Here is a 19124-nt window from a genome sequence, read left to right as displayed (position 1 = left end):
GTACTTGCCTTTTCAAATACCTGTAACAAACAGTTCCTAGTTTGGCCCAGACTCATGGATCATGCTTGGGACAGCAGTGCCCTTAACATCTTGCTGCCTCAAACACAGTTGGCTATTGCTTCCAAGGTACATCTTCCACTCATACTCCCCAAACAAATGGATTGATTTTCACCTTCTTTCTAAACAGTTGCCCTTGAGTTTGGCAGTAATCCCTGGTCTAGGCAGTTGTGGCCAGGGTTACAAAGTCACGTGGCATGAAGCGTGGAAAGGCTGTATGGAAATCTAAGTGCCATCCAAGGAGGATAGAGCACATGGCAGCCACTTCGATTTTCATGGACTCTCTAATATATTCTTCAAAGGCCCCATGGGTCTTACTTCTTCCGTGAAGTCCCCTAAATCATTTTAATCTGAGTCCAGTCGTGGTTGGGCTTCGTGACCCCTTCCCCCCACACACCTCCAGCCACTGCCCTGCACTTCTGCTAAAGCTGAGCTGCTCTCCACCATACTAGTCACCAATACCAAACTGTAGACTGCCCAGTCTATTGTCCTGGACTGTGATCAGCTCTCTCTTTCCCATTACACTGTAAGCTCCCCACGGGTCTTTATCTCTATATTCCCAGTGCTTAAGTATAGTACCTGGCTGGAATTTACTATAGCATATGTTTGCTTGTTAAAATACAAATGCATTGTTATAAATTGATTCTCTGGATTAAAAAATAATGCATTTTTTAAAGGAAAACTCTGAGAAAATGCTTTTGCCACATGAATTATCATAATACATATACACACATACACTAAACAAGCACCAATGTATATACTTGACACATCTGGATTTTGAAAGCAAAGCACACTAGCTGGAAGCTGTATGGTGTCAGAGTTAGAATAAGTACTTTGGGGGCAGACCTGCCTAAATAAATGTAACCCTGTTACTTAATAGCTCTGTGATTCTATGCAAGATAATTAACATCTCTCTGCCTCAATGCCTTCATTATAAATGGAGATAGTAACAGAACCTAGCTCTAAGGATTAAATCAGTTAATGCATGCATCCGGTGAATGTTAGCCATTATTAGGGGTTCTTCGATCACTTGCATGTAATGAATGTCATTGCCTTCTTGCCTCTGTTTGTGTGTGTCAATTGCAGAGACTACAATTCCTACATCTTTCCATTTTCCTATTGTGCTAATCCAGTCGTCAACTCAAACTGGGATCCGTGGACTATTTGTCTCAGAATCATCTATGGGCATTGTTTAACAAGCTAATTTTTTTTTTTTTTTTTTTTTTTTTGGAGACAGAGTCTCACTCTGTTGCCCAGGCTGGAGTGCAGTGGCACAATCTCAGCTCACTGCAACCTCTGCTTCCCAGGTCAAGCAATTCTGCTGTCTCAGCCTCCCCGGTAGCTGGGACTACAGGTGCACACCACCATGCCCGGCTAATTGTTGTATTTTTTTTTTTTTTTAAGTAGGGACAGGGTTTCACCATAATGTTCAGACTGGTCTCGAACTCCTGACCTCAGGTGATCCACCCACCTCGGCCTCCCAAAGTGCTGGGATTACAGACATGAGCCACCATGCCCAGCCAACATGCTCATTCTTTAACCCTACTCTAGGCCTGAAACAAAATGTCTGCATTTTGAAGCTCAGAAAGCTGCACTACAAATAAACACAGCCTGCCTTAGTTCGTTCAGGTTGCTGTAACAAAATACTTTAGGCAATTGAAAAACAATAGAAATTTATTGCTCACAGGTCTGAAGGCTGGCGAGTCCAAAATCAAGTTATCAGCAAATGTAATGTCTAGTGAAGCCCATTTCTCATAGATGGCAACTTATATGTGTCCTCACATGACAGAAGGGGCAAGCAGGCCTCCTCAATCCTCTTTTATAAGGGTATTGATCCCATCCATGAGGGCAGAGCCCTCATGACCTAATCACCTTCTAAGACCCACCTTTTATTACCACCACAATGGGGATTAGGTTTCAGCATGAATTTTGGAGGGACACAAATATTCAATCCATACCACCACCCAAGGAATTATGATGTAGTCTATGAATTTTGAGGAAACACTCCATAAATATGTCCACAGGGGTGTATTCAGCAGCTCCACAGGTAAAGCAAAGGCAAAGATTGGAGGCTCCAAAGGCTTTACAAATCAGCCACAGCCATTCTCTGCAGATTTCTGCACATGCATGTGTCACTATATAGCAAACAAGTGTCAGAAAGGTAAAGCTGCTGTCGTGTAATTTTAATACAACACGGTGGCTATAATATTGCCTATGAAGAGAAATAAAAACACATAGTCTATTCAGGGATGATTTTGTCCTACAGTCAGAGAAATATAAAGGATCTACTGAAATAAAATGCTGAAACACTCAGCTTTGGTCATGTTGAATATTTACATGTTCATAACTTTAAGAAAAAAATTATGTGGTCACATATTCCCCAGAGCAGGTTGGCCTTGTCAGATTCTTGTAGGTCGCCACTCTAGCACTATGGACTTTAGAAAGTGCAATCACATTGCTGTGCCACATCTGCAAGAAATTGAAAACAAATTGCAGCAGAATTTATGTTGCAAGGTAGCAGTTTCCAGCTGCACATCATTTGTTTTCTTTTGTTTAAAATAGTTCTAAATTGCATGCCAGCTACTGTAGGCTCCAGATTCTATTAATGAGGGATGGAAAACTAAAGCAGCTGCTTGTCCTCTGAAAGCTTGTGCCAGGGAGCTTCTAAAACCCTGCCATGGGTCTCTGCAGTCCCATCAGAGGCTTCCAGCTAATGGGGTGGTTTTTCTAAGACAGTGCTTCTCAAGGTGTAATCCAAGAATGACTTGCTCAGAGATCACTTGGGAAGCTTATTTAAAAGCAGTTTTCTACCCCCAGCCCTGAACTCACTAAATCTGTTCTCCAGGGGTGAGTGCAAACATCTGCATTTTAAGCACATTCTTTTTTTTTTAATTGCAAATGTATTTATTACACTTTACAGATAAGTTATATATACACACAAATATAATTTTAACTGTAAAATCACAACAAACTAGTTACATTTAAATCCTTGGCTCTGTAGAAGACAATTTAGAAGTCTTCTAGTCCCCTAACTTTACCTTCCTTAAATTATAAAAAAAAAAAAAATCTGACAGTTTTAACTTCAAGTTAAAGTTGAAGGGGTGATATCACATTTCATCACTCAGAAATGGAAATTTTACCTGTCTATACAAAGCCTTTCACATGCTACAGTGACACTTAAAGTACCATTACAAGACTTTAAATGTGTAAAATATTTAATTAAAACCTTCAAGGATTTTCTTTAAGATTGTGGGTGTTTAACTTGGTTCTAATAACTAGAATGGGGAATGAAACTAACAAACTTGTTTTTTTCTCCTTCAGTCCAATTTTAAAATAGTCCGTTCTGTACTTCTCATCACCATCTGATCTCTTCTAAAGGAGGAGAATATATGGAAGAGTCCTTAACCAAGCTTTTACTCATTTGGTAGTGAGGTTGGAATCCCATGGGAAACAATTTTCCAAAATCCAATAAAAGATGTCCCATTATTTTCAAATACGCAGAGGTGCTAGATTTCAGAAACGCAAAACACAACATAAGTATCTGAAACAAAATGCCTCGGTGTGGTTTTAAAAGAATGCCTATGTGTTGTCAAAAAGCTTTTTCAAGGCAAATGATGCTGGCTTTCCAACTGACATAGCTAGTGTTTGAAATAAGCCTGTTTTCATGGTATTATACCAGACTCTGTAAATGCAATCCCTATAATTACCTAAAGTAGAGGTGCATAAAACACATAAAATAAGGACTCTGCAAAAATTTGACCAACTTTTATGGTGTCTCACTCTCAGTGTGTTTAAGCATGAATATATAAACATTGGAGGCAGTTCTTAGAACAAACCAGATAAAAATAAAATAATGACCAGGTAGGTTATAAACTGAGGTAATAACTCTGCAAACACTTCTCATGAAAAAATTCAAAATTAAGAGGTCACCTATTCTACTTGTTTTCCATTACCTGTGACAGGAGACACATGGAGTAAAAGCAGACCATTAAGGAGGTGGTTAACAACCCCTCAACCTAACATACACACACCATATAAAGCTAACTAAATAAACCAAACACAACCAGTCAGTGTAAAGACTTTCATTCAAAAGTAAACTTTGGGCTAAAGATATCAAGACTTTCTAGTTGTTAACCTGTAGTTCTATCCTTTCCTGAAAGTACAGGCCTTGCCATTAATTCTCTCATTATTAGAATAGTAGAAAACAAGCCTGGATATTGACCAAAGTTTACATTTTACATTTCAAACATGAAAACTCAGAACTGTGCATTTCCAAGTTTATAGTGACATCTGGACAGGTTTTTAAAGTGACGGTGCTGAGGCATGATATTCACAAACACTGGTTTTCTGTTGAGAGTATATACACCCACACCAAATTACCCTGAAATGTCTCCTATTTTCTTCCTAGGAAAATTCTAGGCTTTTAAGTTTAAAAAAATAAATGCCTATGATGCAATTATTACTTTCTAGAGTTAAGCACATTCTTACACACAGCAAGATTTGAGGACCACTATAATCTAGAACCTACTCTAAAATGAATCATTTCCCCTAAAATCAAGTGGAATTTTCCTCAACCAAAAACCTCAGTCTGCCTTTCCTAATTTTCTCCCAGCAATATTTTTTATTCAAAGTTGGTGGCTCATGCCTGTAATCCCAGCACTGTGGGAGGCCAAGACAGGTGGATTCCTTGAGCCCAGCAGTTCGAGACCAGCCTGGGCAACATGGTGAAACGCCGTCTCTACAAAAAATACAAAAATTACCTGGGCTTGGTGGTGTGCGCCTGTAATCCCAGCTACTCAGGAGGCTGAGATGGAAGGATCACCTGAGTTTGGAGGTGTCGAGGCTGCAGTGAGCAGTGCAATGATCACGCCACTACATTCAAGCCTGGAGACCCTATCTCAAAAAAAAAAAAAAAAAAAAAACCAGAGTTGAATAAATTCTCGCCTGCTTAATTATTCCCATTACCAATTATGGTGAAACTCAGTTTAAAAGATTTTACTTTCACTAGTCAGTAAAGTCCAGATATAAAATATCTCACCACTTTTTGAATATGGCCCTTATAGGAGTCAGATCGTGTCCCTGATTCATTGTGAGAGAGAATGCATCTCTCCCTAGAATATAAAAAGCTCCCAGAACAGGTGTGTTGGGTAAATAAGAGTTACCATGGCATCCTGCTCCTCTGTGGACTCCCCTCCTTACAGATTTAGTTGTAAATATCATTCTTGGCTAAGTTCCTCATTCGTATGACTCTGTGATTTGTCAAGTGTGAACTAATATGAACCCTCTTTTCGTACATTTAACGTGTTGACATTGGTCCTGATGTTAGAATAAAATGGCACACCTCCCCCAACCAGTTCACCTGGCAGATAACAGGCCCTCGATAAATATGTGTGGAATGAATGACCAGCGGGATACCACTGCTCTGGTATCTCACCACATAAACATTAGAGGTAGTTCTTAGAACAAACCAGATAAAAATAAAATAATGACCAGGTCAACCATTAGAATATAAAAAGCTCCCAGAACAGGCATGATGAGTAAATAAGAGTTACCATGGCATCCTGCTCCTCTGTGGCCTCCCAGAGGTTAGTAAAACCCCCATGGTTAATAAAGCTGCTGAGAATCTACTCCAAGAAGTCTCATGGGCTCTCTCATAACCCATAACAGATATGCCTTAAAGTCCTTCATTAATTCATAACTATTTATTGAGCACCTATTATGTGTCAGGCACTGTTCTAGCTGCTGGGGATGCAGAAGTTAACACAAAATTTCTGTCCTAGTGGAATCTATTTCAGTGAAAGATGATAGACAATAAACAAATAAACAGATCAATGAGAGAAATAAATATAGGGGTAACTATTATGAAGAAAATGAAATAGATGTGATAGAGAATGTATTGTTTAGGGTACACCTGAATTTCAGTAACAGAGAGATTGAAAATACGGTGCTTAAAGAAGATAAAAGTGTATTTTTTTTGCTCCTAAAGGTGACCTGTCCAGGGGTGGAAGGTGCTGCATCTACAGGGGTCCCCAAGGACCAAGGTGCTATCCGTCTCCCTGTTCATCTCCCAGAGTGGTATACTCATCCAGTGCACTCATCTGGAGCAATTCACATGCACCATGTCTACATTCCAGCCTGTGGGAAAGCAAGAAAGGATGACCAGGACACACGGTGCATCAATAAGAAGATGACTATAAGTGTTGTGTTTTCATTCCTCTCACTTCCCATTGGCCCAAACTTAGTCACGTGACCACAACAATTACAAGGCCATCTGGGAAGTGTAGTATCTATTTGAGCAGTTGAGTATCTGGCTACAAATTGGAGCATTCTGTTATTTTAAGAATAAAGGAATAAAAGACACACACTGTGGTCTTCTGCCGTAATTGTCCAGTTGTTCTCTGGACTAGAGGTGAAGATTTTTTAGCTGGGGGTTTTGTTAAAGTAGTCAGAAAGACCTCTGAGGAGGGACATTTGATACGAGATTGAAAGACACAAAGGATGCAGTCATGGAATATATGTGAAAATTAGAACATCAGCAACCATGAGTAAAGATGACAGTGGACCTGTGTATGTTTCAAACTAAAGTTTTAACTGTTTTTTTAATTTTTAAATTTATTATTTTATTTTCTTTTATTTCATTTTATTTATTTACCTTTAGATGGAGGTCTTGCTATATTGCTCAGGCTGGTCTCAAGCTCCTGAACTCAAACAATCTTCCCGCTTCAGTCTCCCAAATAGCTGGGACTATAGGTGCTTTCTGCCACACCCAGCTTTTGGTTTTGTTGTTTAGTCATTACAATATGTAATTATTTAAGATAATCTCAATAAAAGAGCACATCATGAGATATACAGATAAAACATACATTTTATCTATATCTATTTTTAACTGGTAAGATTGTCAATCCTGTTTCCATACCATATCTGGATGCTTTTGATACATTGGACACGTAGTCACAGGGAATAATTTACATAGATGATTGTTTGGTAGAAATGAAATTCTGGAAGCCTGATTTTTTTCCATTCATTTTTCCAATCATCTCAGATTTCCAAATGGAAAATCTTTGCAATCCCTCCCATAACCTAAGCTACCGTGCAGCCCCATGGACAGACTAACAGGGTGTAGAATGGAGAAATCTTTCTCTAAAGTAAACTAAGAGGAACTTCTAAGTTTTGGGCTCAGTTACCAGCCAGATGGATTGTATACAAGGCAAGAAGTGTTTTGACATTGATTATGAGGACAGAAAATGCCTCCTGGAAAGGTGGCTTGTCCTTGCCCCATTCTGGGCATTTGCAATGCACTTGATAGATTCAGGTCTAATTGAAACCATAAGAAACACCACCTGAGGCAGACCGATAGTCCATCTGGCCCACTGCTCAGGCTCAGACAGAAGCATCCAAAGACTCTGCGTGAGGAGGTCCAATGCCTCATCGGATTTCAGCCATGAGAAGGTAGAAACATACCCTGAAGAGCCCTTACTTTCCTCCGCCAAAATAAGGGATTGTGAGTGAGGCAGTGCTGCTGTCCTCTCCCAAATCTCCCACTTCCTCTCAGGGGAGCTGCCATCTGCTTCCAAGTCCATGAGTGTTCATTTATTAAACAACAGACCTAGCTCCTGACAATGCTTGCCGGGAATGTATACTTCACAATAATAAGCCTTAGACACTGGGGACAAAAATGATCAGAAGCACCATTTTCCCAGGGAATTTATCCACTTGGCAAACCCTGGGCTTGTGAAGACATGGCCTGCCTTCTCCTTCAGTGAAATAAGATAATTGTTTCTGAAGAGTAAAGTTTTATATTTTAGAGTGTTGAGGTCATATCCCCTTCTTTCTATGGGCTCCCCAGGTAAGGAGTTTCATTAAATATTTTCTTTGCTGTGAAATTGCCCTCACAACAGCATCTATCCCTTGGGCTAACCAAAAACTTTAAGGCACAATCTAACCACAAGATTTTCAGTGAAAACCTTTATTTAAATCGTGTGTGTGCATGTGTATGTGTGTGTGTGCATAAACATAGCATGAGTATGTGGCATATGAAAGCTGAAAAATCTCTGATGCTGTCCACATCTCCATCTTTCCACCTGTCCCCCACCTGGCTGGCATGGGCTAGAGGGGCGGGTAGTGTTCTGGTGGCAGCCTCCTGAGACCTAAATGGCCTTTGTTACATACTTCAGAGCTGCTTAACACCCCTGACATGTTCTTAGCTATGAGCTCAGCTCCTGGATTCTTCCAAAATCTGTAGCTCACACTTTTCTTACCTTTCAAATCCTCAAACTATAAAACCTGAAATATAAAGTGCATATAGAGGAGAAGAATGCAGATTGAAACCTTGAGTGCTTGGGAGCTTCCAAGAGTACTTTGCACTCACTAACTAGAGGATGTAAAAGTACCTGTACCCACAGCACACCAGTTGCACAAAGGCATAGAAGTGTTCTTTGATCTAAAAGGATCGGGGAAGCTCTCAGTCACCACGTGCTACCACTTCCCTAGCTGGACAATGCTTTGGAAAACAACTGGATGCATGATTGCATCTTAATTCTAACCCTCCTCCATTTGAAAAATGAGGATACTGGGGCCCAGAGGGATTTGGGGACTTGCCTCAGGTCACAAAGTCAGGGAAGGGCAAGCAGTAACTGGAAGCAGGAATCCAATGTCCTTTTCATTCCACCAGTGTTTGTTGGAAAGAGTATATTTCTGCTTGTGAGGCAATCTTCAGTCTGCAGAGCCGTAGTGTAACGTTTTGGCATGGAGTAGCAGTGTCGTAATCTTCCTCTAACACTTCCCCAGTCCTAAAAACCATATAAGGAATTTGAATCTCTATCATGGTTCCCAATTAGCTTTGACAAACTTGATGTCTTGCCAGCCAGTAAACTACATCACACCCACTGATTCCAACAGGGCAAATCATTCTATTAAACACTGAGACTTAATATCTCAGCTAAAAACAACCATCTGTTCACACTTAATTACCATCTTCCCCAAACATATTTATTTGACAATCTTAAAGAAAACTCCAGTTGCAGAGAGGACTGAGGATTTGAAGGTTTAGCATTTCTGCTTAAGAGCTGTCAGTTAAACTTAAAATTATCTCAGTCCTGGTTCAAGTCCTACTGGAAATAGAAACACACATTTTTCAGATGGTTCCAAAAACATTCTTGCATTTATTTTCTAAAAAGAAAACTTTAAGAACAAATCATGAAAAAAATAAAATAAAATGAGCTGCCTTGCTTTTTCTTTCCCTTTTTTTTTCTTTCTTTCTAGCTTTCTTAAACATACTTGTTCTCGAAAGAAAAAAATTGGAAGGAAAATACTCAGATGCCAGGTGTACCTTTATTAATTGGCTTAACATGCTAGTCAAGAAACCAGCTAGCTACACTAACCACCATCATCATCTCTCTGTGCCTCTCAAAGGAGACTGCTGGGTTTCAATCACTGTACATAAGCAGTTTTTTATTCTCGTGTCACCTCTGTAGAGATCTAATTTACATGTGATCACTTAAAGCCTCTTTTGAATGTTTTAAATAGTCAGAATCTCAATAGCTATCAACTTTTCAGAAGGGGCTTTAGCTTTAATTGTATTGTACATCAGGTATTCTTATAATGTTAAACAGTCAAGAAATTTATAGTAAAGAAAGGAATTCTTTGTCAAGCAAATAAAAAAAAAGCTGATAGCCACAACATTCATAACCAAGACTTTTTTTTTTTTTTTGGCTTAACTATTAGCCACCCCACAAGGCAAAATATCCCTATCCCTAAATTTCGAAAATATTCTATTTGGGGAGTTATTTTTTTGGAGTAAAGAAGAATGAGTTGGACCACCTCTGGCCATCTGTGTGTTTTTTCATTTTTGTAGCCTTTGCTGACTGCAATGCACTCTGGTATCTTGGACTCTCTTGGGGAAAAATAAGCAATTAAGAAGCTTTCCAGAGACCAACAGTTGTATAGGAACGACTTGCAAACAACATTTCATCACTCAGGGAATAAACATCATTGCTTATGATGTACCAATTTCTCTGCTAATATCTGGGAATACAACCATAAGCCGGATAAACAAGTTTGTTGTCTTCCTGGAGCTTCCAGTCTAGAGAGAGAGAGACTAAGAATGCTGCTTAAATAACAACATACATAGAAGAAAAATGATCTGTCAAAAAAAATCTGGCTTTTTAAAAGTAATTTTCAAAAAACGGTGAATATACTGTTTCAATATTTTAAATACTGACCTATAAAAAAAGGAATTAGCATCTATTTCATTGCTACTATATGCAAAGGGCTTTCCATATATTTTTATTTAATTTTCACAGAGATCTTTGTAAGTAGATATTAAGAACACTGAGGCTCAAAAGTTGAAGTCTCCAAAACGAAAACATGGCCTGTAAGGGATAAAGCCCAGTAATACCATCCACATTCATCTGATTCAAAAGTCCATGCATTTTCCCCTACACTTCCTGATTTCCTTGACTAGGCTTTGGCACCTTAGCCGAAACGCTCACATTTCTTCAGACTTCTCTTTCAACAGTGTACAAGGAGGCACACAAGGTTCTCTAGCTGATATCTTTATCTCTGATTCGAATAATTATCTGAAAGTCCAAAAACTTCATTTAACCTTAAGTAAAATCTTCAGACAACCCCACCCCCATCTCCAGTAGCAACACAGTCTGATGTTTCATAATTCCTCAAGCATGCTAGCACTGAATGAACTTCAACTTGCTTAGCAAATTTTCATTGCAGACGAAGTTTCTGTGCTAATCTGGAATTGATACCTTATAAGAATACAGCCCAAATTGGGAAGTTGAAGAGTTTATATATCTCAAAATTCCTTAGTCATAAAATAATGAACTAGCAACAAAAACGTCTACCTTCCTAAAGCATATTACAATCTGACTGCACAAGTCTTTTGTTCTAAACACTTATAAAGGGAAGTGGATGGTCCTACTGGAATCCTACTAGACATATAAATGAAGAATTTTATATTACATTTTGTAAAAAGTTTATTCTCCCTCAATATTTAAGGGAATTAGCTGGCAACATTGGCCAATAAGCAACCCACATTTACCTACAGAATCATTTTTAAATATTTTACTTTTTTAAAAAAGTACACATTTTGCTTCCAGTATGTAGCACCAAAGGCCCATTCCAGGGCATCCCTCCCACTGAATAAACTAAAACCTCTCAAAAACAAAAATATAGAAGGAAAGTAAGGGGAAAGGTAGATTCAAGAATCCTTAACAAAATATTATTACACTGTGTTTAACAATATACAGACAATACATCATAACTGTGTAGAATTTATTCCAAGGAACTAATGTTGGTTTTAGCATTTGAACACCAATCAAATATAATTCACTCATTAACAGATCAAAGGAGAATATTCATATTATCATTTTAATAGATGGGGAAAAGACATTTGACAAAATTTAGCACTCATTTGTGATTTTTTTTTAAAACTCTCAGCAAACTAAAAATATTTGGAAATTTTCTCAAATTGACAATAGTCATCCATGCAAAACCTACAGCTAACATCATACTTGACATTGGCACCCTAAGATTGGTAACAATTCAAGGGGACCTGCTTTCACTGCTTCTGTTCAATATTATACTGGGAGTCTAAACCACTGTAATATTTTTTAAAAGAGGGAGAGGGAAGTAAAATGAAAAAGATGGGAAAGAAATAATAAGAATAAAGATCAATAAGAAAGTAAAATAATATTTACAGGCAATAGAATTATTTATGTAGGAAATCTCAGGGAATCCACAAAATAATTACTAGAACTAATAAATAAGTTTAGTAAGGTACACGGACGATATTTTTAAGCCATCGTATTCCAGTATATAAGCAGCAACAATTCAAAACTGAACTTTAAAAAAATTCCATTTACAATAGCAATAAAAAAATTGTTTTAAGCAAGTCAAATGTGTCTACACCAAAAACTATGGAATACTGCTGAGAGAAAGTAAAGAAAACCTAAATAAAAGGGAAGATAGACCACATTCGTAGATTTAAAGACTCAGTGTATTAGTCAGCATTCTCCAGAGGACATATATAAGAGGAGATTTACCATGGGAATTGGCTCACTTAAGTATGGAGGCTAAGAATTCTCATGATATGCTGTCTACAAGCTGAAAAACCAGGAAAATCATTGGTGTAATTCAGTCTGAGCCTGAAGGTCTGAGAACCAGAGGAAGGGTGATGGCCCTGGTATAAGTCCCAGAATCCAAAAGCGCAAGAACCCAAGCTTCAATATCCAAGGGCCAAAGAAAATGGGTATCCTAGGTCAAGGAGAGAGAGAATTCACCTTCCTCCACCTTTTGGTTCTATTCGCTCCCTCAATGGATTGCATGATGCCTACCAGTGTTGGCAGCGTGGATCTTCTATACTCAGTCTACTGTTTCAAACACTAATCTCTTCCAGAAACACCATCACAAATACATCTAGAAATGATGTTGTTTACCAGCTATCTGGGCATCCCTTAAACCAGTCAAGCTGAAACAAAAATAACTATCACATTCAATATTATTAAGTTGATGATTTTCCCCAAGGTGATCTATAGTTTCAATGCACTGTCAATTTTTTAGGAATTGAAATGCTGATTCTAATACATATATATATGTATGTATATGAAAACACACACACACACACACACACACACATATATATATTCATATATATTCATATATGTACATATATATTCATATATATATTCATATATGTACATATATATTCATATATATTCATATATATATACATATATGTACATATATATTCATATATATTCATATATATACATACATTCATATATATATTCATATACACATATATATTCATATATATATTCATATACACATATATATTCATATATATTCATATACACATATATATTCATATATATATTCATATACACATATATATTCATATATATTCATATACACATATATATTCATATATATTCATATACACATATATATTCATATATATATTCATATACACATATATATTCATATATACATATATACATATATATTCATATATATATACATATATTCATATATATACATATATATTCATATATATACACATATATTCATATATATTCATATATATACATATATATTCATATATATTCATATATACATATATATTCATATATATACATATATACATATATACATATATATTCATATATATACATATATACATATATATTCATATATATACATATATACATATATATTCATATATATACATATATTCATATATACATATATATTCATATATATACATATATTCATATATACATACATGTATATATTCATATATACGTATATATTCATATATATATTCATATATATGTGTGTGTGTGTATATATATATATATATATATATATATATATATATATATATATATGAAAACACAAAAGACCCAAGCATTCTGTTAAAAGAAGAACAAGGTTGGGACACTTACCTGATTTCAAAAAATATTTTATAAAACTCTGATAATAAAAGCAATATGGGCTGGGTGCAGTGGCTTATGCCTATAATTCCAGCACTTTGGGAGGCCAAGGCAGGAGGATCACTTGAGGCCAAGAGTTTGACACCATCCTGGGCAACATAGCAAGACCCTGTCTTTACAGAAAAAAAAATTTTATTTTAAATTAGCCAGGCAAGGTGGTACATGCCAGTATTCCTAGCTACTCAGGAGACTAAAGAAGGAGGATAACTTGAGCCCAGGAGTTCAAGGTTACAATGAACTATGATTGCACCACTGCACTCCAGCCTGGGTGACAGAGTGAGACTGTGTCTCTAAAAATAAATAAATAATAAATAAAATAATATAAAATAAAAGTCAGTATGATACTGGTGAAAAGACAGACATATAAATTTATAGAAAAGAATAGAGAATACAGAAATAAACCACATACATATGGTCGATTTGTTGTTTTTTGTTTTTTTTACAAAAATACTAAGGTAATTCGATGGGGAAAGGATTTTCAACAAATGATGTTGGACACATTGTTCAGAAAAAAAAATTAATATGGTCCTTTACCTCACACCATCCACAAAAATTAACTCAAAGTAATCATAGTCCTAACTTTGAAACATAAAACTCTAAAATTTTTTACAAAAAGCGCAGGAGAATTACATCTTGGGGTAGGCAAACATTTCTTGGCTAGAACACAAAAAGCATGAGCCATAAAAGAAAAAAAATAACTGATCTTCGACCAAATTTTAAGTGTTTTACTATCTGAAAGACACCACTAAGAAAACAAAACTGCAAGCCACAGACCTGGGAAAATATTTACTAAACATATATCAGACAAGTTCTTGCACAGAAAATATATTTGAAAATTTTATCACTCAACAGTAAGAAGACAAACAATCCAATTTTTAAAATAAGTAAAACATTTATATACTTTACCTAAAAGGACCTATAGTTGGCTCAGAAGCATATGAAAAGAGCTCATATTGTTAGTCATCAGAAGTGTAAATTAAAACTACAACGAGACACTACTATCCACCTATTATTCTAGAATATATATCCTATATATTTTAATATTCTATATATTAGAATATTCTAGAATATATATTCTAATATTAGAATATTCTAGAATATATATTCTAATATTAGAATATTCTAGAATATATATTCTAATATTAGAATATTCTAGAATATATATTCTAATATTAGAATATTCTAGAATATATATTCTAATATTAGAATATTCTAGAATATATATTCTAATATTAGAATATTCTAATATTAGAATATTCTAATATTCTAGAATATATATTCTAATATTAGAATATTCTAATATTCTAGAATATATCCTACATATTTTAATATTCTATGTTAGAATATTCTAGAACATATATCCTACATATATTCTAATATTCTATATGTCAGAATATTCTAGAATATATATTATATATTCTAATATATTCTAGAATATATATGTTAATATTCTAATGTTCTAGATTATTATATATATTCTAATATTCTAGAATACATTAGAATATTCTATATTCTAGAATACATAAGAATATTCTATATTCTAGAATATATATCTTACATATATACATTTTAAACTGGCAATACCAAGTGTTGATGAGGATGTAGACAATTGCTGCTGAGAATGTAAAGCACAACTATTTTGGAAAATGGTTTGGCAAGTTCTTTAAAATATAAAATATATAAAATTTATATAAAATATATCATAGGATATATATTCCTAGGTTTTTACCCAAGGGAAATGAAAGCATATGTCCACACTAAGACTTACACACAAATGTTCATAGCAACTTTATTTGTTATCGCCAAAAACTGAAAACAGCTTCTATGTCCATTAACACAATTTGTGGTACATCCATATAATGCAAAACTACTCAGCAATAAAAAGGAACAAACTACCAATATGCTCAACAAATTACGATTTCAGAAGAATCTCAGAGTTATTATGCTGACTGAAAGAAGCATGGCCCCAAGGAGCATATACTATATTATTCTATTTATATGAAATTCTTAAAAATGTAAACGAACCTATAGTGACAGAAAGCAGATCAGTAGTTGCCTGTGAATCTTGGCAGAGGGAGGGGTGTATTTATAAAGGAGTTGGGAAAAAAATTTTAGGAGAGAGAAATAATTATTAACTTGGTTATGGTGATGGTTTCATGAGTGTATGCATTTGTCATAACTGATAAAATTATACTTTAAAACATTGTACTTCAATTATACTTCAGTAAAATTGTTAAATGAATTAATTTAATTTTTTCTACTTGCCCTAAATACATGGGCTATGTATCTCACATAGCCCATGCTCCTGGGCCAAGTTCCCAAGTTTGACCACATGAGATTATGGTGTAATAAAATGCTGTTTTGAAAATATGGAAAATATTAATTAACACAGAGAAATGATATGTGATGATTAAGAATAAGATCTCAGAGTTAAACATCCAAGTTTGAATCTCAGTTCTCTCTCTCACTTTCAAAGTGACCTCGCATGAAACTAATTTTTTTGTGTCTTAGTTTCCTCATCTGTAAAATGGAGATAATAGTACAACTTATTCCATTAAGTTATTTTGGATATTCAATAAGAACACCTGCCCAGTAGGCTCCTAATAAATTAGAGCATTGCCGTAACACTCAAATGGTATCCCAAATATTCTAATTCTTTTAAAAAATTACTGCAAGTTTAAGGAAATCACCCAGGCAAGTCTGCATAGCTAGGTGGGGCGTATTCAAGGAGCCAATCATTGATTATATCTTGTTCAAATTTGCTTCATTGTTGGGTGTGTTTTCATGGGTACTTTATTGCAATAAAACTATAACCAAGTTTTATCTTTTCCCATCCATATCCTCTTGTTCGTAGTCATCTCAAAATCCTTTTATGAGGTGATTAGATCTAAAATACTGGATATAGATATTCCCCCAGGAAGTCTGTTAATTATTTCTGTTTATAAGTGGATTGAACTTGTTTATATCTTGTCCTTCAACTATGATAGTGGCCTGGTCCAATTTGGAACTAACTCCGTCTAATACACAGTTGGAACTCAATAAATACTAATATCTTTATTTCTCTAATTCAAGATTTAGGTCTATTAACATAGCTGAAGTGCACATGATAAGATAGAAATCTCATAGGACTACTGGGTTCAGAGATAGATTCCATATTAGGCTCATGAGGGTTTCAGTGAAATACAAGTGCAGCAAATCCATCCTTCTAATACTGCAGCTGCTTCTGATCCTAAGTTGATAGCGGCATTCTACTTTTGCTATTTCAAAGCAGAGTAGATGTTCACTTCATTGACCCATAAAGAGACAGGGATCTAAATAAATAGGTGCCTACTACACGCCAGCCAATGTGCTATTAATAGAAACTTTCTATATCATTTCTATAAATTCTCATGATAAGCCACTTCTGTGTTACACATGAGATTATTGAGGCTTGACTTGCTCGAGGTTGTACATGTAGTATGGGCTAATGAAGCCAGGATATGAAGCTATACAGGATTTTGGGTATATAACCTGTGTTCTGTACATTATATCACTTCTCAACATCTGTGAATTTAGAAAGGGTGACTTTATAATTTATCTTCCAGCTGGAGACACTGCTAAGAGTACAAGTTGCAGAGAAACCTTTAATAATTACACCAGAGCTGGGCACAGTGGCTCACACCTGTAATCCCAGCACTTTTGGTGGCCAAGATGCGAGGATCACTCGAGCCCAGGAGGTTAAGACCAACCTGGGCAATATAGTGAGACCTGGTCTCTACAAAAAATTTTAAAGATTAGCCAAACATGGTGGCACATGCCTGTAGTCCCAGCTGTTTGTGAGGCTGAGGTGCGAGGATTGCTTGAGCCTGGGCAATAGACACCCTGTCTCAAGAAATAATAATAATAACTATTATTATTATTAATATGCCAGAACAATAGGTATGAACTAGGACCTGCTGGGCAAACCAAAGTGAATGGTCACAAGTCTGAGTCATCAGCTGTTCAAGCAAAATATTTTGAAGCAAAGAGATATCAAGCAAGGAGGTGAGAATAGTTTGTCACATGCTGAACACTGGCCAAATAGGCTCTCTACAAAGGAAGACGTGACTCCCGTTTTAGGGAAAATATTTCAGGGCCTGATCAAGTTCCTCACCACTCATCATATGGTCTGCAGACCAGCAGCAGTACCAGGGAGCTTGTTTAAGATGCAGGATTTTGAACCTACCTCAGAGCTACTGAATCAGAATCTGCATTTTAACAAGACACCCCAGTGATTCCTACTCATATGCTTTGAATTCGTGTCCCCTCCCAAATCTCAAGTCAAATTGAAATCCTCAATGTTGGAGAACGGGCCTGGTGGGAGGCATTGGATCATGGGTGTAGACTTCCACCTTGCTCTTCTCGTGATAGTGAGTGAGTTCTCATGAGATCTGGTTGTTTATGAACTCAAACAAATTTACAAGAAAAAAACAAACAACCCCATCAAAAAGTGGGCGAAGGATATGAACAGACACTTCTCAAAAGAAGACATTTATGCAGCCAAAAAACCATGAAAAAATGCTCATCATCACTGGCCATCAGAGAAATGCAAATCAAAACCACAATGAGATACCATCTCACACCAGTTAGAATGGCAATCATTAAAAAGTCAGGAAACAACAGGTGCCGGAGAGGATGTGGAGAAATAGGAACACTTTTACACTGTTGGTGGGACTGTAAACTAGTTCAACCTTTGTGGAAGTTGGTGTGGCGATTCCTCAGGGATCTAGAACTAGAAATACCATTCGACCCAGCCATCCCATTACTGGGTATATACCCAAAGGATTATAAATCATGCTGCTATAAAGACACATGCACAGGTATGTTTATTGCGGCACTATTCACAATAGCAAAGACTTGGAACCAATCCAAATGTCCATCAATGATAGACTGGATTAAGAAAATGTGGCACATATACACCATGGAATACTATGCAGCCATAAAAAATGATGAGTTCATGTCCTTTGTAGGGACATGGATGAAGCTGGAAACCATCATTCTCAGCAAACTATCGCGAGGACAAAAAACCAAACACTGCATGTTCTCACTCATAGGTGGGAACTGAACAATGAGAACACTTGGACACAGGAAGGGGAACATCACACATGGGGGACTGTTGTGGGGTGGGGGAAGGGGGGAGGGATAGCATTAGGAGATATACCTAATGCTAAATGATGAGTTAATGGGTGCAGCACACCAACATGGCACATGTATACATATGTAACAAACCTGCACATTGTGCACATGTATCCTAAAACTTAAAGTATAACAATAATAAAATAAATAAATAAATAAAATAAATATATAGCACCTCCCCCTTCTCTCTCTTCCTCCTTCTCTGGCCGTGTAAGACGTCCCTGCTTCCCCTTCACCTTCCACTATGATTCTAAGTTTCCTGAGGCCTCCCCAGCCATGCTTCCTGTACAGCCTGCAGAACTGTAAGTCAATTAAATCTCTTGTCTTTATAAATTACCCAGTCTCAGGTAGTTCTTTATAGCAATGTGAGAATGGACTAATACACATATACACAGTAAAATTTGA

Source organism: Homo sapiens, chromosome 2 (genome assembly GCF_000001405.40).
Source record: "Homo sapiens chromosome 2, GRCh38.p14 Primary Assembly".
NCBI classification, from domain to species: Eukaryota; Metazoa; Chordata; class Mammalia; order Primates; family Hominidae; genus Homo; species Homo sapiens.
This window is presented reverse-complemented; position numbering follows the sequence as displayed.